The sequence below is a fragment of the Homo sapiens genome, chromosome 18 (assembly GCF_000001405.40).
Source record: "Homo sapiens chromosome 18, GRCh38.p14 Primary Assembly".
In the NCBI taxonomy this organism is placed as follows: domain Eukaryota; kingdom Metazoa; phylum Chordata; class Mammalia; order Primates; family Hominidae; genus Homo; species Homo sapiens.
In genome coordinates this window covers 76,310,880-76,332,823 of record NC_000018.10, presented here as the reverse complement: position 1 = coordinate 76,332,823, position 21,944 = coordinate 76,310,880, and the positions used below count along the sequence as shown (strand labels likewise).

Genomic DNA, 21,944 nt, shown 5'->3' with positions numbered 1-21,944 from the left:
TTGTATCCTGCAACCTTACTAAATTATTTATCAGCTATAAAAGGTTTTGGTGGAGGTTTTAGGGTTTTCAATATATAAGATCATGTCATTAGCAAATAGGGATAATTTGACTTTCTTCTTTCCAGTTTAGATGACCTTTATTTCTTTTTCTTGCCTAATTGCTCTGGCTAGAACTTCCAGTACTATGTTGAATAAAAGTGGTGAAAATGGGCATCCTTCTTTTCTTCCAACTCTTAGAGGAAAAGCTTTCAACTTTTCCTCATTTAGATTGATGTTGGCTGTGGGTATGTCATATATAACCTTTATGATGTTGACATATGTTCCTTCTGTACCTAACTTGTTGAGAGTTTCTTTTTTATCATGAAGAGATGTTTAATGTGATCAAATGCTTTTTCTTTCTATTAGTGATTATATGATTTTTTCATTCATTCTGTTAATATGTTATATCATGTTTATTGATTTTTCTATTTTGAGCCATCCTTGTATCCCCTGGGATAAATCCCACTTGATCATGATGAATGATCTTTTTAATATGCTGCTGGATTCAGTTTGCTAGTATTTTGTTGAGGATTTTTGTATCTATGTTAATCAGGGGTATTGGCCTATAGTTTTCTTTTTCTTTCTTCCTTTCCCTTCCCTTCTCTTCCCTTCCCTTCCCTTCCATTCTGCCCTACTTCCCCTCCCCCTTCCCCTTCCTTTCCCTTCCCTTTCTCACTGTTTGGTTTTGGTATCAGAGTAATTCTGGCCTTGTAGAATGAATTTGGAAGAATTACCTCCTCTTTAATTTTCTGCAAGTGTTTGACAATTGGTATTAGTTCTTCTTTAAATGATTGGTAGAATTTTGCAGTGAAAGTATTGGGTCCTGGGGTTTTCTTTAATGGGAGACTTTTTATTAAATATTCAATCTTGTTACTTGTAATTGGTCTGTTCAGGTTTTCTATCTCAAAATTTTTGGGGGTTTCAGTCTTGTTAGGTTGTATGTGTCCAGGAATTTATTCATTTCCTTTTTGTTTTCTAAGTTTTTGGAATATAGTTGTTTGTAATACTCATTAATAATCTTCCATATTTCGGTGATGTCAGTGGTAATGTTTTCTTTTTCTTTTTTGATTTAATTTATTTGGGTCTTTATTTTTTTTGTCTCCGTTAGTCTAGGTAATGGTTTGTTGACTTAAAAACGTCTTTTCAAAAGACCAACTTTTTCTTTCATTGATGTTTGGTATTTTTTTAAGTCTCAATTTAATTTAGTTCTCTTATTTTTATTGTTTATTTTCTTCTACTCGTTTGGGGTTTGTTTTGTTTTTGTTTTTCTGGTTCCTTGCAATGTATCATAGCCTGTGTATTTGAAATCTGTTTACTTTTTTGATGTAGGTGTTTATAACCCTCTCTCCTCATCCTGCTTTTGCTATATTCCATAGGTTTGTTGTGTTTCTATTTTCTTTTGTTCCAAAAATGTTTTAAATTTTGTTTTTAATTTCTTCATTGATTTGTTGATCTTTAAGGAACATATTGCTTAATCTCCACATATTTGTATAATATTGAAAGTTTATCTTGTTATTGATTTCTAGTTTTATTCCATTGTGGTCAGAAAAGATACTTGATATGATTTCAATTCTTTTAAATTGGTCAAGAATAGTTTTATGGCCTAACATGTGGTCCATCCTGGAGAATGTTTCATGTGCTAATAAAAAGAATGTGTGGTTTGTAGCAGTTGGATGAAATGTTTTGTAAATGTCTGTCAGGTCCATTTGGTCTAGAGGTCAGTTTAAATCTGATATTTATTTTATTGACTTTCTGTCTTGATGATCGGTCCAATGGTGAAAATGGGATTTTGAAGTTTCCAACTATTATTATATTGGAGTCTATCTTTCCGTATAGATCAAATAATATTTGCTTTACATATCTGGGTGCTCCCATGCTGGGCACATATCTATGTACAATTGTTACATCATCTTTCTGAATTCATACCTTCACTATTGTATAATAACCTTCTTTGTCTCTTTTCATAATTTTTGACTTAAAGTGTGTTTTACCTGATATAAGTCTGGCTACTCCTACTCGCTTTTGGTTTCTGTTTGTGCAAAATATCTTTTTCTATCTTTTTACTTTCAGTCTGTGTGTGTATTTACAGATGAAGGGAGTCTCTTACAGGCAGCATATAGTTGGGTCATGTTGTTTCATTTATTCAGCCAGGTATATTTTTTAAATGGAGAATTTAATTTGTTTCCACTTATGTTATTTTTGTTAGGTAAGGACTTATTCCTGTCATTTAGTTAATTGTTTTCTGGTTATTTTGTTCCTTTCTTCCTTTCTTATTGCTTATCATTGAGGTTTGGTGGTTTTCTGTAGTGATAAAGTTTGGTTATTTTCTCTTTCTCTTTTGTATATCTCCTCTACAAGTGAGTTGTATACTTTTGCATGTTTTCAGGGTAGTGATTTTTGTCTTTTAGCTTTAAGATATAGGACTACTTTGAGAATTTCTTGTGAGGCTGGTTTAGTGGTATTGAATTCCCTCAGTTTTTGCTTGTCAAAGAAAGACTTTATTTCTTCTTCATTTCTGAAAAATAGCTTTGCTGAGTATATTTTTGACTGGCAATTTTTTCTTTCATCATTTTGACTATATCATCACATTTTCTCTTGACCTGTAAGGTTTCTGTGGAGAAATCTGCTGTTAGTCTAATGCGGATTCCCTATATGTGACTAGACACTTTTCTCTTGCTGTTTTTGGAAATCTCTCTGTCTTTGAATTTTGACAATTTGACTATAATGTGCCTCAGGGAGGATCTTTTTTGGTTTGGATTTATTTGTGAATCTTTGAGATTCCTGGACCTGGATGTCCATATCTTTCCCCAGAATTGGGGAATTTTCAGCTATTATTTCATTAAATGGGTTTTTGATGCCTTTTTCATTCTCTTCTGCATTTGGAAATCTCATAATATGTGTATTTTTTTGCTTAATGGTGTCCCCCATAAGTCTTACAGACTTTCTTCCCTCTTTTTCATTTTTTTGTTTTTCTCTGACTAGGTAATTTCGAGTAACCTATCTTCAAGTTCAGAGATCATTTTTTTCTGCTTGATTAAATCTGCTGTGGAAGCTCTTATTGCATTTTAAAATTAAATTCATTGCATTCTTCAGCTGCAGTATTTCTGTTCTGTTCTTTTTCATGATTTCTATATCTTTGTTTAATTTTCTCCTTATCCATGAATTATTTTTCTCACTTCACTGAATTATTTTCCTGTATGTGTGGTATCTTGTTGAGTCTCCTTAAGAGCATTATTTTGAATTCGTTTTCTGGCACTTCATTAATTTCCTTTTCATTGGGTTCTGTTACTACAAGTTATGTTCTCTTGGTGGCATCATATTTTCTTGCTTTTTCATGCTCCTTGTGTTCCTGTATTGATGTCTGTGCATCTGGTGGAACAGTTGCTTCTTCCAAACTTTCTACAGTGGCTTTCATAGAGAAAGGCTTTTCACTTGCAGTTGGGTTTTATCGTGCTTATTAAGAAGGGTATAGTAACAGTTTCCAGATAGGTGCCGTGGCACAATCTCCATGCAGCTTCTTCAGTTGTCTTCAATATCAGCAAAAACTGTGGGCACCTCAGTGATCTAGGCTGTAGGCACTTATGGCAGTGGCAGCATAGGTTGTTAATGACCTCTGTGTCAAGGCTTTTGGGGTCTTCCTATTCTTTTTTTCTCCACATTGGGGAAACTTAGCTGAGAAGATTCCTTCTTGATTTCAGGTCTGAGACTGCCTGTAAACAGCTGCTGGAGTGCTGTGTTCCAGGTGCAAGTGTTTGGCTCAGCGGTGGGGCCAGATTTCTAGCCTCAGGGTCTCACAAACTTATTGTGACACTGGAATCTTGGGGGTACAGGTTTGCTGTCTCTAGCAGGGTTAAATGTAGGTTGCTCACAGAGCCAGGATCTGTGCCTCTGAGGTACCTCTTAGTAGTACAAGCCTGGGGACTGAGTAGTACCTGTGATTTTGCCCTTGGGAGGCAGGGCACAACCCTGGCCTGACTCTGGGGAAGAAGGAATTCTCTGGAGGTTTGGGCCAGAAGAGCAGATATGGCTGCAGTTTGGGAATGTGAGCCAATAGGGCTCAGTGGCGTCTTGGGTCCCAGGGTTTGAAACACCATGTAGTAGTGACTCTAGACTCTAGGGTGGGGGTGGGGGGCAGTAGCTGAGACTCTGTGAGGACAGGTTCAGTGGCAGCAAAGACTCCAGAGCACAGCTGTAATTTGGGCATGGAGGGATCAGAAAATGGCATAGTGATGACTACACTCCCTGGAGAGAGGGATGTCTCGAAAGCTCAGACTCTAGAGGGCTAGTCCAGCTCCGACTCTAGAGGGCTAGTCCAGCTCCAGGAAAGTAGGGTATTAGAATTGTTTGTACTGTAGGGCAGGGTGTCTCAGCTCAGCCACTGCTGTGTTTCCCTGAGATGCAGGATAGTACATTAGCTCAGTCCTGGTATGCACAGCTGCTGTGTTGCTGAGCTTGGCCGGAGCACTGATTCCCCAGGGGTCCATGTGCTGCTTCAGCTCAAGTGCAGAATATGTGACTGTTCTGTGTGGCTCAGACATTTCTGTGGGATGCAGGGCTCTACTTCAAGTTAGGCATGGAGGAGGCATAACTCCTCGGAGTGGCCAAGATATTATTTTCTCAGGAGGTAGGGCACTGCTTCAGCTCAAGCTGGAGAGGGTGCAGGAGGCATAGGTGGAAGGGACCCACCTCTGCTTGGTCTTCTGGGGAGAGAGATAACAGTTGCTTGCAGCTCAGCTTAGGGATGTCGGGCCACCAGGGTGGGCTGGTTCATTAGTGGCTTAGCCTCAGGGATGAAGGGGAGCCATACCTACATGCCCCGGAAGCAAGGCGTGCTCCAGCCATCATTCAGTTCCAAGACTGCACCGCAACGTAGCTGCACAGGGAGTGGGGACAGTGTTGGCTCCTTTTCTGGGGAAAGCACAGCTGTGTGGCCTCTGGGCAGCTCCCTCAGCTGGACTTGGTGCTGGTGGGGACCGCAGGGGACCCCAGTGGTGAGGTGTTTTGTAGGTGTCCAAGGTGTTGATGGGGGTTGCTGGAATCCTCTTGTTTGCCTCCTGGCCATAGGCAGAAGCTCCTTCTGGTTCCTGGCTGATCCTGGTTGGCGATGGGGTGGTGGAGGCCTGGCTTTTCCTTCTGCTGTCTACATGGCTATCCTGGGTTTCTGTGCTCACCAGTGTTTCTGTTACTTCTCTGATGCACTCCGGTGTTCTCCCTCAGTTATTTTCACCAAATGTGCTTGTTTATTTGTTGTTCTGGCTTTCTTTGGTAGGGCGGACGAGGACTAGGGGCTTCTAATCAGCTGTCTTGCTGATGACCAGGCAGCCATTCGTTTCCTTTTAAAGGAGGCTTCTTTCTATTTTTTTTTTTATTGTCCATTCAGTGATTGTCTACTTACCTTTCTGGTTTTGGTCCAATTATCTCTTCTCTGATTGAAAACAAGAAAGTAGCAATTTGGGTGCTAAACCAATTTCTGCATTTCAGTGGCCGTGCATGAATCCTCTCTGATAACCTGAGAATGATCTCTCTGTCTCCTCTCTTAGCCACACCATGGCCTTACCATCTCTTCTGAAATTCTGCACACAGTCATCTGCAATCTGAGTGGTAAATTGTGTTTCAGACCCTGGTGCACTGCCCCTGGTATGTCCTTCCATCGTAACAGAGCCTTTCATTTGTGCTCGGTTAATTTTTCAGTCAATTCCTGAAAGTTTCCACTGTTTTTCTTCAGGTATTAAATGCTGATGGTGTAGTAGACATTTACCTCAACCCCATAATTTATTTAGCTCTTTGTGCAATAGATTTCATTAAATTAAAAAAAAAGGTTTATTTGTTTTGACAAGTCCGTGTGCTACCATCGTATTGTGCCATGAACATGTCATAATAGAAAATAGTCCCTGCAATTAGCTCGGTGGTACTATGACTTAGAAAATGGCTGCTTTATAATTTTTGACAATTTGAAACTCAACCAAAGTGCTCCCTATAAACACCCTCATTTATGAGATGGATGTTTCTTTAGCTTTGATAGGGGCAAGAGCCAAGATAAACCAACCATCTCCCTAGATTACAAGCAGTAATGTATAGAACACCCACCTTGCAGGGGTCAGACACAGCGCCCAGCCCACCTTGTCGGTAGTGCCGAGTGCCATCACCTGACCATTGTGAGTTAGAGAAAGAATCCACCCCAAGGGAGCACATCAGTGCAACATGCCTTTGAAGTTTTACCTCTTTCATATCTTGGCCCAGACTTGGGTTTTGATCTAAAGTATACAGTTACTAGTAGTTCTAGTTATTCCTTCCAGAATAGTAATTATTTTTCTCTTTCTTGACATTTCTGGTGCCATTCTAACTTTGATAAGAATTTTTTTTTTTTAGTTATGGGATAATGATATTGCCAATGACAAGTCTCCCTCTCTCTCTTTTTTCTAACTTCTCCAGGTTTTTGGGAGGGCGTATGTGATAACCTACTTACTTTGCCAACATAAGTAATGTGAAGCAGTAAGAACAGCAACATGGATTCTTCATTTCTTGAAAACACCATTAACACATCTTACTCTGTCAGACATTAGCAGGCTTGTTTTATGTCTTTGTGATTGTTAAGTAAAAATAGAGACCATGTTATTGTCTGTGTTTGGTAAAATGTCTTAGGCATTCAACATGCTTTATAAATAATAACATTAATAACAGTGCAGCTGAATCACTAAATGTCTTCTGAGCTTTTTTCTCTCACTAAATTCGAAGTTGGCTTTTCATTCTCTGCTCTTCCCACATACCCTGGCTTCTCCTGGCATTTTAATCAGTTATTTTAGTCTAAAACATATTGTTATGTTCTTCATATACATATCTTATTTATATCTACTAACAATCTTTTAAGGATGATTTTATTATTTGCACTTTGGGGATGTGAAAATATTAATATTGCCACTTGGAGGTTCAGAGAGGTTAATTAACTTATCAAACGTCACTCTTGTAAAAGTGCAGAGCAAGGATTTGAACTTGGTTCTGCCTGGCCCCAGTGTCTGACTTTTTTTTCCCAGTAACACTTTGCTGCTCTAGTGCTCTCAGTACATCAGATTCACTTAGACAACTGGAGTCTTCTCTGGTGTTGTAGAGCTTGTTTACTGCTAGCACCTGTGTGGGCACACGTGACAATCTCAAACATGAAAATAATATTACTTTTTATGCAATAAAATTCACTGTTAATAAGTGCAGAGGCCACAAGCCTTCTCCACCTTCTGCTTCATTTTACTGGTATGTTCTTTGAACATCTACCACATGGGATGACTGCAATAACTTGACCCTGCTCCTGGAATTATGTTGGGTACAGGGGGTCAGAGCGAGGAGGTGATTGAAAGATGCCCACATCCATTCATTCAGTGATCAGGTATACAAACGCTAGACAGATGTGATTTCTGCCTTCATGGAGCCCAGAGTGCAGGAGGAGAAGTGAGCCGGTAGTCAGCAACTGTCGTGATAAAGATACTGAACCGAACGGGAGGCTAGAGGGTCTTCCTGGAGCCACCTCACCCTACCGGGGTATCAGGGGAGACTTCCAAAGAAGGGCTGTGTTGGGAACTTGGCTGAGACTTGAGGGATGAGTAGGGTTTATTCAGGCAGAGTGGATAAAGCACCATATAGAGGGTGCAGCCCTTTCCAACTAGTTGTATCGTCTAACAAAAGCCACAGGGCCTACCTTGTAAAACCCATCACCCCAGGACGGTAAGTCTCAGCCTCCATGAAGCGTTTTTAAACATCTTAAGCCAGTGACCAAATATAAAATTGTTTACTCTTATCATGACTAAATTCATCCATTTGATGGCCTTAGGTGGCTAAATTTTGGGTAGATCTGTACAACTAAGAAGCTAGTCTAACAGTTTGAGTCTTTAGAAAACACCAATAATTTTTGAGCAAAGTTTTGACTTATAATATATTTCAAAAATTTGTTTGGTTAGCAGATTGCTTTTCTTTAACAAGAAGCAACTGGAAATAAACTATTTTCCAAGCCCAAATACATTTTAGAGGCTTTTGTCAAAACTGTGGAGTTAATATAAGGTCTTGGGGCTGGACCCAGGCTGAGACTCTTACTCCACATAGGAAGACAGACAAGTTCTGTACCAACAATGTGTTGGAATTATACACATCCACACAGTCTTCCAAATAACTTCAAACTCAGCAACTCTGCAGACAGTGGGCCAGCTTGGGCACAACTGCAATAACTCAGCCTCACTCTGCGGACTGCTCTTCCTTTCCCAGCCGATGAATGCCTGCCCCTTGCCCCGCAGTTCTTACCACTGGCCTAACAGGGAGAAACTGCCTGTCTGGAAGGGATAGGTGAACAGTCTTTACTGATGTCGCACCTCCTGAAAGCAGAGGGTGACAGGAAGACTGTCTGAATGACACAGTCCTGTTCTTGCAATTCCAACCCTGATCTCCATGGGGTCCTGGGCTTGGCGCGAGGCTGTCTTGACATCTTTTAGGCTGCAGTCGTGTGAATGAAGGCTTGTTTCCACATATTATCTGTTCTTTTTGGCTACCACTTTGCTCTACAAGCCCCCTTTGGGTCAGGGAACTTGAATTATTGAAATAATAAATCACACCAAAATCCATCATTTGTGCCGGAAATGAGGCTCAGCGTTTGCATTTACTGATATGGATTTTTCCACCTGGGCTTGACCTTGGGCTGCATTTCTACTTTGTGAGTCAGAATACCTAAATGTTTGCCAGCCTCAGGGCCTGCTTTTCTTACAGGTTCTTTGGGTGGAAAATAAGACGGGACGTTACTGATCCTGTTTTACCTCTCAAATGACCTGCGAAAGGTAAAGACGAACCAGGCAGCCCGTAAGAAACTGGGGGTACTGGCCTGGTGGCTGTTCTTCTTGGTTGATATATTTCTACTAGATTTTAAGAAACTTGGCTTGCTAATATGACCACAGATATTTAGATTGCAAAATGTAACAGAAATATAACCAGATATATGTATATCTATATACTCTAAATCTAAACCTACATCTGTACCTTTAGTAATACCTATGTCTATGTTTGCATTGATAGTCACGTCAATACCAATATAGACATAGAATACATGTGCATGAGAATGCAAGAGGGCAGGGAGGAGAAAAGCCACAGAGATGTTTGGGATGAAATTGCATTCTGAGCATTGGAAAGTGAAGCTTGATTTTTGTTTTTCGCTTTTACTGTTTTCAGAAAATTGTCAATGTGAATTCAAGGGTGATTGGAGGCCTCTGTTTATCCAAACCGTGGATTTTGGAGAATCATTAACAGGTGAACTGGTACTGAGAAGCCCAGGCTTTGAGCCTCTGCCTGTTCTCACCTGGGTGTAGGTGATGGGCTAACAGGACTTCTCAGGTCTGGATCCAGGTACACCAGATTGACAGCTGTACTGTTAGAATCAGTTTGGGTTCTTTCTTTGCGTGTGCCCCTGTCAAACCCCCCAGCTCATGCCAAATCTTAAGCCAATGTGAAATGGGGGGCTTGAAGATGCTGGTTTGTTTTGTTTTTATTCCTGGTATCCTTATCTTCTTAATTTTCTCTTCCTCTCTGTAAGCAACTTATTGCTCAAAAAGAGGTAGAACAAGAAAAGGATGAGTATTTTATGCCTTGTCCAGGTTCACCTAGCAGATGAAAGTCTTTAATATCACGATGTTCCTGCCTCAAGGGAGGCTGTGAGTCAGAAGTGTGTGTAAAGAGAAGAGGAAGGAGAGTAGAGGATTTACAGTTTAATCTGTAAATGAATACGCGTAGTGTATGCTTTAAAAATACTGTGAGGATGAGTATATGCGTTTCATATGTATATGAAATGCTTAACTCAGTATCAGCACATGGAAAGAGCTAACACAGATGGCATGTGGTTGTTGATGATAGTAATTGACGAGCCCTGTTGCTGTTTGGTTTCAGCTGGTTTGGAGAGCTGGAACCTCCCCACGTCTCTGCATACTCACTTTCCCACTCGCTGCTGGTGGCATGGTGTTAGATCATAGCTCACTTGGAAACTGAGTTCAAAACCTGATTTCTCAGCTTTCCTTATTTCTGTCCTCCGTGGATATCCACTGTTAGGTCTCATGCCTGCCCACATTGTGAACTATGTCAAATCTTTGCCCCCGCGAGCAACTTCTACTCTACTACCGCAATCTGATCTGCTTTTTACTATTATTGAAGAGGCTTACGTGGTATTGCTTGAACAGACTCTTCTAGAAGCTTTGCATCCCTTGGCCTTCTCCTATCAACCCCTCTTTAACTGGTCACCTAGGAACTGTCCTTCAAGACTTGGATTCCAATTTGCTTTGGAAATGTATTCCAAGGAATGGGTGAGATTTTCGGGGGAGCACCGCCTGTGAATAAAACAAAGATTCAGCCGCGATAGCCAGCCACAAACGATTGTAAGTTGTTTACGAAGATAAGAGACAATGCTTGGTTTTTATCTGGTGCCACAGAAACGATGTGACTCAGAGCCCTGAGCAGGGTTTGGGATGGCGCTGAGCACAAGGAGGACACGCAGATGGATGCATTATCTTCTTTCACTCAGCAGACGGTAGGAGAGTCTCTTATTTTTATTGTATTTTTTTTGTATTTAATATACAAGAATTTGACAAAGTACTACAGTCTAATCATCTAATAATATCCATTTTACCCCATAAAATTATTATATCAGTCTTAAAATGTTAAATATGTCACTATTAGAAGAGAGTAACATAAAACTCAGTTTATAATATTAAAACTCATAACATGACACAACGTTATCAATCACATTCCCTGGTAATATTAAACTTTCCTCATTTTTCTTTAATTTTGCATTTTTAGTGTAACAAATTGAGATTAAAGCAGCAGGCTTTTGTTCACAATCTCTTGGCAGTGAGTGGCAGGAAAGTTGGAAGTAGAGAGATGACAAAACAAATCACAGGAATCCCTAATATTTAATAATGTTTGAGATAGATGACTGAGATGTAAGAGCCAGGGCAGTAATCAGTACTGGATCAGTGTAGACGTTCCAGTAATTATCCAGTCTTCGTGTTAGGTCACTTTTGAATAAATGTAGACACTTAGAAAAAAAGGCTTGAATTAAATTGCATAGCTTGGAAGAAATGGAGATATACCTCTTAGAAGGTTTTAGTTTTCTCTCTGTGGTTTTTAATGAACTCTCTGAATATTTTCCCTTAAAGGCAGAGTAACTTGTCAAATCTGGAGTTATTTTTTAAATAAGCATCTTAATATAGCTTCACACAAATGACTGCCTCTCTGAACCATACCCTGGAAAATTTACATGACAAAAATATTTTCCTATGTGTGTTTAAAAATGTCTCAATATGCTTACTCATTATATTTCTTAAGAAAACAGAGCTGTAAAAATTGCCTTTTAAGTTTTACCAATAAGCAGGGGGAATCTTCTGAAAATCTTTGTGATTTAAACATCTTTGTGATGAATTGAGGACTATTACATAATAAAGCTAAAAAAAAAACTGTACAGGTTGAGTTGGCCTGGCGCTCTCTTTGCACATAATATATCTATCAATGACTTTGTGACGCATCACATGTTATAACCTAGTTCACCACATCAAACTTTTCAGCCCAGCTTATAAACTCAGCTATACCAGCTGCTGAATCATTTGCACCAAGTAACATTTAGCTTCTCACTGAAGAGGGTCCCCTTTGGAAGGCTTGGCTAGATTTACTGTAGGTACCGTACTATTTGATCTGCTGTGTTCAGGCAGCAAAAGTGAACATGAACTCTATGCAGAATAAGATAGCCTGTCTGTATTGTAATTTTTTTTTTTTTTGAGATGAAGTCTCGCTCTTTTCCCCCAGGCTGGAGTGCAATGGCATGATCTCAGTTCACTCACTGCAACCTCCACCTTCCAGGTTCAAGTGATTCTCCTGCCTCAGCCTCCTGAGTAGCTGGGATTACAGGCGCCTGTGACCACTCCCGGCTAATTTTTGTTTTTTAGTAGAGACGGGGGTTTCACCATGTTGGCCAGGCTGGTCTCGAACTCCTGACCTCAGGTGATCCACCCGCCTCCGCCTCCCAAAGTGCTTGGATTACAGGCGTGAGCCACTGCGCCCGGCCTGTATTGTAATTTTTACATTGAGGGTTCTCCTCACATCTTAAATGTATTCATGTAACTTGAATGGCACGTTCTTAAGGATGTCTTTGAACTTCTTATTAGAAGTTTGCCGTTCTCTGAGAGAACTCGAGATGCTAACTACAGTGCAGTAAGAGTGCCTGGTGATTTCTCCTCCATTATTAACAGGGGTCTTTTCTTGTTGTTGCCAAAGAAAAGCCTTAGCCAGTAGCAAATTTTAGTACTGGTTGCATATAGCTGCGTGGTGATATTTACCAACTAGCTCTGTTGGAATTACTAATTTGAATGACTCATGGCCAAGACAAAGTCTGCGTCTCCGGAGAAAATGACACTTCTGGTTACCAGCCATTAAGCCCCTAATGACACAAATAGGTTTCACATGAATTTATTGAACACATACTGGGTACAAGTCAGACTGTTAGAAACAGGGAGACAGAGATGAAAAAGAAACTACAACCGTTTGCGTAACATAAGTGCTCTCTGTATCTCTGAAGGAAATGCTGAAGAAAGGGTTAATTTTGCTTTGAGGATGGGAGAAGTGAGGAAGACTCCGCAGGGGAGGTGACAATGGGAATTTGCAAAGTTGCATGGAAGAGCATAGGGTAACCTGGCAAGGTGTTACAAATTCAGGCGTAGTGCAGTGCATGTAATTTAACCTTTGAGGAGGTATCTATTGCATTGGGAACAGTGAGAAGACTTTCCTGTGCATAAGCTCATTAAATCCTCACAACAACTTAATCTTTTTTTATTTTTATTTTATTTTATTTATTTATTTTTTGACACAGAGTCTCGCTCTGTAGCCCAGGCTGGAGTGCAGGGGTGAGATCTCCGCTCACTGCAAGCTCCGCCTCCCAGGTTCACGCCATTCTCCCGCCTCAGCCTCCCGAGTAGCTGAATATTTTTTTAATAGTAAAGTGAGGGCATTGGGTTTAGATCGGCTCGCAGCTTCTTGTAACTCGGAATTTCTAAATCTGTGCCATATTTCAATTCATGATCAAATCACAAATCACTTACAACTTCAGTGAAGCGCTTGCAATAAGAAACCTGATTCAGACTGTATGCATAAAAATGACTTTCCAGTTCTGTTTTTGCCAGACCTTCTGGATTTGGTCTGTTGTGAAAACTTGTATTTGTGTGGCACTTCACCATTTTCAAAGCTTATTATTCACACATTCATTCAGCTCTCACTCCTTTAGTCCACCACACACAGATGTAAGACTGACTAGTGTTCAGTAGCGTTAGCTTTCTGGAGTTAGGATGATGTGGTTTCCTTCCCATTCTCTTGCCCAAATGCTCTGTGACTGATGACATTTAATTATAAGACATCCACCTGGTATTAGGTGAGCTGTCTGTGGCCACAGAAAAGAGCAGAGTTGATTGGCCAGCACAGAGTGGAGTCTACAACCTATCCTTGCACTTTGCTGAAGATAACTAGCCCAGTCAACTAGTCAAAGTACAACAACTGCTGCCTCGCCTAGGAATTCAACTTGGGTATAAAAATTATATTCATGATTCTCATTGTGCATTTTATGGGTGATTTGAGCATAAAGTAGAGTTATTTCATGGAATTCTCAAAGGCCTATTTTATATCTTCTATGCTCAAAAAGCCAAAGAGAGAAGGGACAGAAACATACTTGCAGAATGGGCAGTATTGATCTGTGAGCTCTGGACTTCCACACCATGATTATTTTCTTTCTGTGTATGAACATTTTTTAGAGAAGGGGAACAAAAATAACTGTTGGGGAAAAGGATGCATTTGGGTACAATAATGTGGTTGTTTGTTATCACTGTGGTTACGTTTGCTTAGCAAATATCTGCGTGCACAAGAAACGAGATGGAGCCTGCCTTTCTACCAGATTGTTTAACTCACGGCCACCACGTACATAAAATCATGTTTATTTACACTTAATTTTTAAAACCAGCTTGGCAAATGTCTCCATTACAGGGTAATTCTTATGTAGCCATTTTTTTCCCCCCACAGGACTTGGAGCATGGTCTTTGATCTGGAATATTTTGGATGGGAGACAAAGTATTGGGATGAAATCTAAAAGTTTGTATACACAGGACTTCTTCCAGTGCTCTCAGCCAAAGCCAATACCCAGCCACGGCTAAATCATTCTAATGAGTTAAGTATTGTGTGTGGCTTTGTCTTCTTAAGCAAATGGATTTGTTTCTGTTTCTGAAACTGCCAGGGATCAGTCAAGCCAATATTCCCGTGGAAGAGAAGAATACCTGTTCCTAAGAGAGCTGGATGCATTTCTCTCTGTGGTGGAAGCGATTGCTGAAGCTAAAGCTGAGTTCCAGAATTGAATCTGTAGTTGTATTTGAGAATTGTTCCTACCTAGGGTCCTGACTGATGAGTGAAATAAATAACTGCCCCTCTTTCCACGTTAATGCACAGGCACCTTTATCAAATCCACATGCTGGGCAGAATGAGCCATTGTCAATTTGAGAGCAAGACAACCAGGAATGCGACTCACTGGACAAGGAGACGCTTAGAACAGGTTCCCGATTTTCCCTCTTTACTGCTTTTTATTTATTTATTTATTTATTTTTGACACAGTCTCACTCTGTGGGCCAGGCCGGAGTGCAGAGGCATGAACTTGGTTCACTGCAACATCTGCTTCCCAGGTTCAAGCGATTTTCCCACCTCAGTCTCCTGAGTAGCTGGGATTACAGGCGCGTGCCACCACGCCCAGCTAATTTTTGTATTTTTAGTAGAGACGAGGTTTCACCATGTTGGCCAGGCTGGTCTCGAACTCTTGACCTCAAGTGATCCACCTGCCTTCGCCTCCCAAAGTGTTGGGATTACAGGTGTGAGCCACCACGCCCGGCCCCTCTTTACTGTAAAAGGAAAAGGGACATGACCCAGATTGAGTAGAAATGGCTGTGGAGGGACCTGAGCAAGGGCTGCTAGCAAGGGCTGCTAGAGAGAACAAGCTGGTACCTGTGCCCAGCTCCAGATTGTGGCTGCAATAAGGGACAGGTGATGACCACACGCGTCAATCACTAGCTCCTCCCTCGCGCACCTCGCACCTTCCAAAGAGCCCACCTGGGCTCTTACAAACATCCTCCACTTTTCTCTGCCCCTCTGCACCCTCCCCACTCATGTAGACTTTAATGACCACAGTAGACATAAAATTATTCTGTAGAAGTGATGACTTTATGACCACAGAAGTAAAATTATTCTATAGAAGTGGTAACAAATGTTTATTTTCTTTTAAACAGAATGTTAGAATTTCACTTTTATGCATAAGAAAGAGAAATAACACAATGGTATGCATGTCTCCACAGAGAGTAGGTGGCTGGGACTCGCAGTTGAAGTTAAACTTCCCTTTCTACCCATCAGAGTCATGTTAGACTCTTCACAGAGTGGATTACTCACACAGTACTCAAGTTCATTGCTCTGACCTACTTTAGTAGGATAATGCTGTAGAGTTTGTGGGTGTCCCCCCTTTTCCCTCACACAATGTGTGCATAGCCTGTCCTGGAAGGCTGGTTGTCATTTTGTAGGTTTCAGTTGTGATTATAAAATGATTGTGATTATAATGATGATAAAATGCTCAGCCTCCTTTCATGTGTGTTGGGAGAGCTACAGGTGGCTTGTGAGACCATGTCCTGTTCACTTGATTTTGTTTTACCCATTTAGTCAGATATTTATTCTTTGTGTGACAATTTTTTACTTTGGCAGATGCTGTGACTCCCTGCAGTAATAAAAGTGTACCAAGGAGTGGAAAATCCAAAACACTGGGTCATCCTCAAACCATTTGTGTTTGTTTATACCTGCATTTTTAATAGGTCCAAGAAGACTGCAGATCCCATAAGAAAGACGGATAATGGCCAGTCTGTTTCCGAAAGAGACGAGAATCACCTTTTTCATTGTATTTTCGTGTCTGGTCACTACTCACTGCCTCCTTCAGGCCAGGGGCAGCTTTAAGCTCCTTTGCATCAGGTTGACCTCACAACAAGGGCATCTTCAAGGTGCAACCCCTCCTGGTGTGCCTTGCGGCACAACCGAGATGCCGGGCAGGAGAACAGATGGGGAGAGAGCTCAGATCGTTTTCTTGCCACCGCTAACCCAGCCGTGACCCTAGACAAGTTAATTTCCCTCTCTGAACCTCAGGGTCCCCAGCTGAAGATACAATTTCCACACCAACAGGGGTATTAGCAGTGAGTACTAAGTAATATAATATATATAACTTACTGTAGCTCCAATATCCGCATGCAGTAAGGGTAGCTGCTAATTTTATTTGTCAAACCAAGTTTCTGATTGCAACAAATACCCAGGGGTCCAAAAAAAAGTCTGAATGTCCTTACGCTAAAGTGAAGATTTCCTTCTGAGACACTTTGTGTTATTTCAACCATGCTTGTTTCTCAAACCAAGCTAAAAATTAACATATCTTTTTAGAGGCTGGGAAGAAATGACTAATTTTAATATTCTTTTGACTTATAAAATGCAGATATGATATTTTTCTGTTTTATGGATTGAATTCTAATATGATATTGTTATCTGCTGTTAACAGGTGTTTGGAAAATGCAGCTGTATTAGATACGTATCATTTGTTTACAAGGTTCTGGGTGGGTGATTAGTCAGAAAGATGGAAACTGTTCTCAAGAAAAGAGAACAGGGTTGGAAGACAGGGAATGAGAAGCAATGTCAGATGAAAAAGCAGAAGCAGCTTGTGAGTCATGGTCTCAAGACTAAAGTGAAGGAGTGATGTTTAACATGTCCATCGTTCTGTACTTTGAAGGAGATGTAAATGGGACTGAGTGCTGTAAGTGTCCACAGGTCACACCCACCTTCGATCTTCAAACCCTTTCCTGCCTCTTACCACTCACCAGCCCTGTCATTTTTTTGCATGTGGAAGATGGATTCCAACACTCACAATTCAGGGCGGAGTGGACAGTTCAAAACATAAAATTAAAAAATGCAGCTATGTCTTCATTGGACAACCCTTGCAACCAAACGTATTTTAAATGATGCTCAAAAGTTTCAGGTGGGAATTAGGCTGTCTGAGATGAAATTCTTTTTGAAATTGGATGTTACACTAGGCATCCACACATCCGATTTCACAGGAGGAAGACCATGTTTTGGAAGAAGATAACAATAACACATGTGTCTTTTCAAAGCCCCAGTGCAGCTGGAGTAGCAGATTAAGGGAGATTTGTAAACTGTTTCTAAAAAAGTACATCACATTCCTCAGTTTGAGTGACATAGGAATTTTAATAAGCATACAGTCGTCTGTTTCCTGGCAGACCTCTGCCATAGCTTGTGGACATCTTTTCTACATAAACTTTATTAAAAAAATTACCCTGTAAAGTAATATTGAGTTGGTAGATTTTTGGGCCACTCTTTTCATACTGAAGTATGGCAATTTTCAACCGCCTACCCATTGGTTAAATTCACAAGTCAGGTGCAGACTTAGTAGTCTCAGCTAGTGGAACAATATAATTTGGCAAATTAAAAACAGAAAGCATATATTGATCTTGAAATGCCAACAAAAGATGCTCCCTTATTATTGTAGATCAGAAAGTCAAAGATTAGTGATGTCTTCCTCTAAGGTAATGATGCAATAATTCATTAATGTTCTTAAAACTTCCAGTAAATTCTCACCATTTCAAATCCCACTGAGGCCATTAAATCAAGGCTGATTTTGACACAGATACTTCTCTCATATGGAAACATATAAATGGGATCAGATGGTCAAGGTAGTTCAAGTAAGTGGCAACTATTAATTTTACTGAAAAAACCTCCCTCAATTGATGTTCCTGGCTTGAAAGGCTGGTTTATCTCTAAAGGGTTAACTGGAGTCCCACTAATGGAAACACTATCACAAGATAAAGTAATATCGTTTAATGCACCCTGCTTTGAATTCAGAGTTCATGTATAGTCTAGACTAAAGGCCAAACAAATTTACAACACTTCATGCATTTCCATGGAGGACCGTTTCTACTGGAGGATATGTAAATATTGCACTAATCAGAGGTTCTGGAATTCCAAATGCCATAAAAGGTTATGACCTGAAGCCCTGCTAATATACGAGTGAGGGCGTAGACTAAAGTCCTTTGAATGACAGCTAACATGGGGTGTTTTGCATGAAAAGTAACCTCTAATAAATGACCCCTGCTTTTTTCTCTTCAAATCGATGACAGTAATGAATGGGAAAGGGGAGCTTTCTACCCATCCGGTGTATTTACACCTATAAAGACGGGAGTCTTTGATGAGTGCTGGCTTTCATTCAGGAAGGCGGAAGAGTAGAGAATTGATTTCAGAAAACAGTCTTTCCTTTTTCATTTTGAGGTTCCCATTGAGATTCAAATAACAGTAAAAGAAATACAAACATAAGCAAAAACGGGTATTTCTAAAGGGCCCCCTCCGTAGAGGGTGTGTATGGAATCTTTTGGAATTCTGATAAAACCTTCCCTGCTCAGAGTGCCCATGTCTTTAGCCAGTCAGAGCTGTGTCTCTCCAAGTGGGTGAGTGTTTTCAGGAGCTTGGAATCCCTGCCAAGAGCTCGTTTTCCCTGGGACTGTTTTGATGTGCACAGAAAGTTGTTATTTAGTTAGTTCAGATTTTAGCTGGATAAAAAAAGGCACATATTCCCTTAAATAATTCCCTTAAATATGTGCCTTAAATAAAAAGGCACATATTCCCTTAAATAATGGAGCTCTCTTCCTCCTCTTCCCCAATACAAAAATGTCTTTCCATATTATATATTTTCAAATCTCAGTAATCTCAACTTGCATTAGTAAAAGATCCCTTCTATTTGCCTTTTGTTTCTCAAAATATTTGACCGACGCTTTGTTTAGTCTCATAAGATTCAGGGCTGTGCCACTCCCATGGGCTGTGATCATGTACAGAGGTTTCTGAGGAAATATCTTGTGGTGTTTGGCTTAATTTTTTTTTCTTTTTTTTTTTTAAGACAGGTTCTTGCTTTTTCTCCCAGGCTAGAGGGCAGTGGAGTGATCAGTGCTGACTGCAGCCTCGACCTCCTGGGGTCAAGCGATGCTCACACTGCAGCCTCCCCAGTGCCTGGGACCACAGGTGCACACCACCATGCCTGGCACAGGCACACACCACCATGCCTGGCTAATCTGTGTGTTGTTTGTAGAGATGGCGCCTTGCTATATTGCCCAGGCTGGTCTCGAACTCCTGGGCTCACGCGATCCGCTTGCCTCAGCCTCCCAAAATGCTGGGATTACAAGTGTGAGCCACTTTGCCCCGCCCTAGATTTTTCTTCACAAAATTTAAATCTGGCTACTGCCAATTATGTTGCTTTGAATTTTATTTCATGATTTCCCTCCAAATGCAATGATTGTGCTATTTAATACTTTAGAGACTCATGGATACATGCTTCCATTCCCCCATGAATGCTTGCCTTTTCTGCAGGGCTGAGATTCCCCAGCTATGCCCTCTTTTAGGTGCTGAGATGTAGCTGTCCATTTTTATGTGCTGCCTGCTCTCTTTGAACTGCCCTTGTACTTGTTAAAATGTTATGTCTGAAATAAAATGCCATTCTTCTATGTATTTAGGAAAACATCATGTATGGTTTCCCTTGCCCGGAGCCATCCCTCCAGGCATAGGATCTGTGACTCTATTTGAAGGAGAATGTATTGATGGTGGCAGCCAGGGGGATGCCATGGGCTTTGGGCCAATGACATAGACCTTGGATCTAAATGGTGACCTCAGCCGCTGAAGAAGGGTCTGGGAAGAAGGAACTGAGCAGTTAGATTCCTTTGCCCTACCCGCCCCTGCCCCCGCCCCTGCATTGTGGAGGCATGTACCTGGGCAGCTCCCTTCCTTTGGCCTAGAAGTCTGGGGGTTCAGGCCAGCATCATTCCATCTCTTCTGTGAACAGCCTGCTGACTGCCTGCCTGGAGCCAGGCTCAACTCGTCTCCTCCGCATCATAGGAGAACAACTTATCTGCAATTGAAATCTCATTGTCTTATTACCCTAATGAGGACTTTTCTAGCTCCATGTTAACTACAGGATGAATCCCGACTTGTTTGTAAAGCAAAAAAGTCATTAATAAGACATTAGCCTGCTTTTTATTTTTATTTTTTTAATTAATTTTTTTTTGAGATGGAGTCTTGCTCTGTTGCCCAGGCTGCAGTGCAGTGGCACGATCTTAGTTCACTGCAACCTCCGTCTCCTGGGTTCAAGTGATTCTCCTGCCTCAGCTTCCCAAGTAGCTGGGATTACAGTTGTGCATCACCATGCCTGGCTAAGTTTCGTATTTTCAGTAGAGCTGGGGTTTCACTATGTTGGCCAGGCTGGTCTCGAAATCCTGACCTCAGGTGATCCACCCAGCTTGGCCTCCCAGAATGCTGGGATTACAGGCGTGAGCCACTATGCCTGGCCTGCTTTTTAGACTAATTTCCTTCTGACCTTCCCAGGGAAATTTGGGATCCAGCTGTATTGAACTATGTGCCATTCTCCAAAAATGTCATTCTGTTCTGTACTCAGACGTTTTTCCATCTACTAACCTGAGAATTCCTTGCTCACTTTCAAAAGCTGGAACGAATATTACTGTCTTTATGAAAACCCTCCTCAGTAGTACTGTCTCCAAATCCCAAACCCAACGCCCACACCAGCCCAAATTGGTTTACAGCTATGATTTCCAACAGCGCGTTGTTTCTGTTTCTCTACAAGCACATCCAGTTCTCCTTGTAGATGATACGTCTGGGGGGTCAGAGACTGTGGTGTTTTATCTGTATTTGTACCCACGATGGTGGCACAAGGCAGGATCTCCGTCAATCACATATCAGGTGCCGGCATCAGCATCACCAGGCGTGGGAGGCTCCGTGATGTCCTGGTGTTCTGTGAAACTGGACTTACACCAGTGCTACCAAATGTCGCCAACCCCATGACTGGGTCCCACTCTTTCCCAACCAACAATTCGACTTCTGTGGAGGCCATTGGGCCGTGCTGTGAGTGTGAGCCTGTGTTGAAGCATGCAGGGCCTGCGGAGAAAACTTAGAGCCATCGTAAAACCACTTTGTGTCCACGAGTGAGCCAAGGAGGTAAAGCTCTGAGCCTTTTATTTCTTTTCTTTCAATTCTTCAGTGTGGGGAGAAGCAGCCAAGCATCTCCAAAGTGCTTGTTCCCTGGGCCTTGATGTGTTGCTGCGACAGCCGTCCTTCACCAGATAGACACATCCCAGGTGATGGCAGGTGATACCAGCCTGGCTGCATTCCACACAGGGCCATAGGCTCCAGCGTCCCACATCAGCAATGCAGTGTGTTCAGATGACCGAGACCCAATGACAAGCCCTGAGTGCAGTCACCCGCATCATTTCTGTCATCATCTACTGTGCCAGTAAGTATTTATTATTATTTATTATGTTCAGCTGACAGCAATAAATGCCTCCTAGGTGCCAAGCAGTTGTTGGTTCCACATAGGGGCTTAGATGTTCACAGAATTGTTGGAAGGCTGGAGAAGCAGACACAGCTCGGCTCCTTGACCAGTAGAGTGGAACTTGGCAAGGGTACCCCGGCTTCCACTGGGGAGCTGCTGCCCCAATCCTTTCTTTGGGGCCACATCTCCACACTCACAGTCTGCAGACCAGAAAGTCCCCACCACAACTGTTTCACTAGGACACAGTATCCTAACTGCCATCTGATGATGGGAGAACTACTCTCGAAACCACTGGCTCCGGAGCCACGTGGACCTGCTAAAACCTGCACCAGTGAAACAGATGCTGTAAGCAGCCTCTACTGGTTAATGCATCTCAAATTCAGGTCTCCTGAGGGAGGGGAGCAGAATCTAAATTGCAACTGCATTGCTAGCTGCGTGGAAATCTAGGAGATGGCCT

The 21,944-nt window shown here is 41.5% G+C and overlaps 1 long non-coding RNA gene across 1 annotated transcript in view; it reads left to right on the top strand.

Annotated features, from left to right (window-relative positions):
- Nucleotides 1-7,274: 7,274 nt before the first annotated feature.
- Nucleotides 7,275-21,944, top strand: part of LOC105372211 (uncharacterized) — a 46,771-nt gene continuing 32,101 nt past the window's right edge. The window contains exons 1-3 of the long non-coding RNA XR_935655.2: nt 7,275-10,582; nt 14,110-14,253; nt 21,197-21,448. This is a non-coding gene — a long non-coding RNA (uncharacterized LOC105372211). The remainder of the gene's footprint in view (nt 10,583-14,109; nt 14,254-21,196; nt 21,449-21,944) is intronic.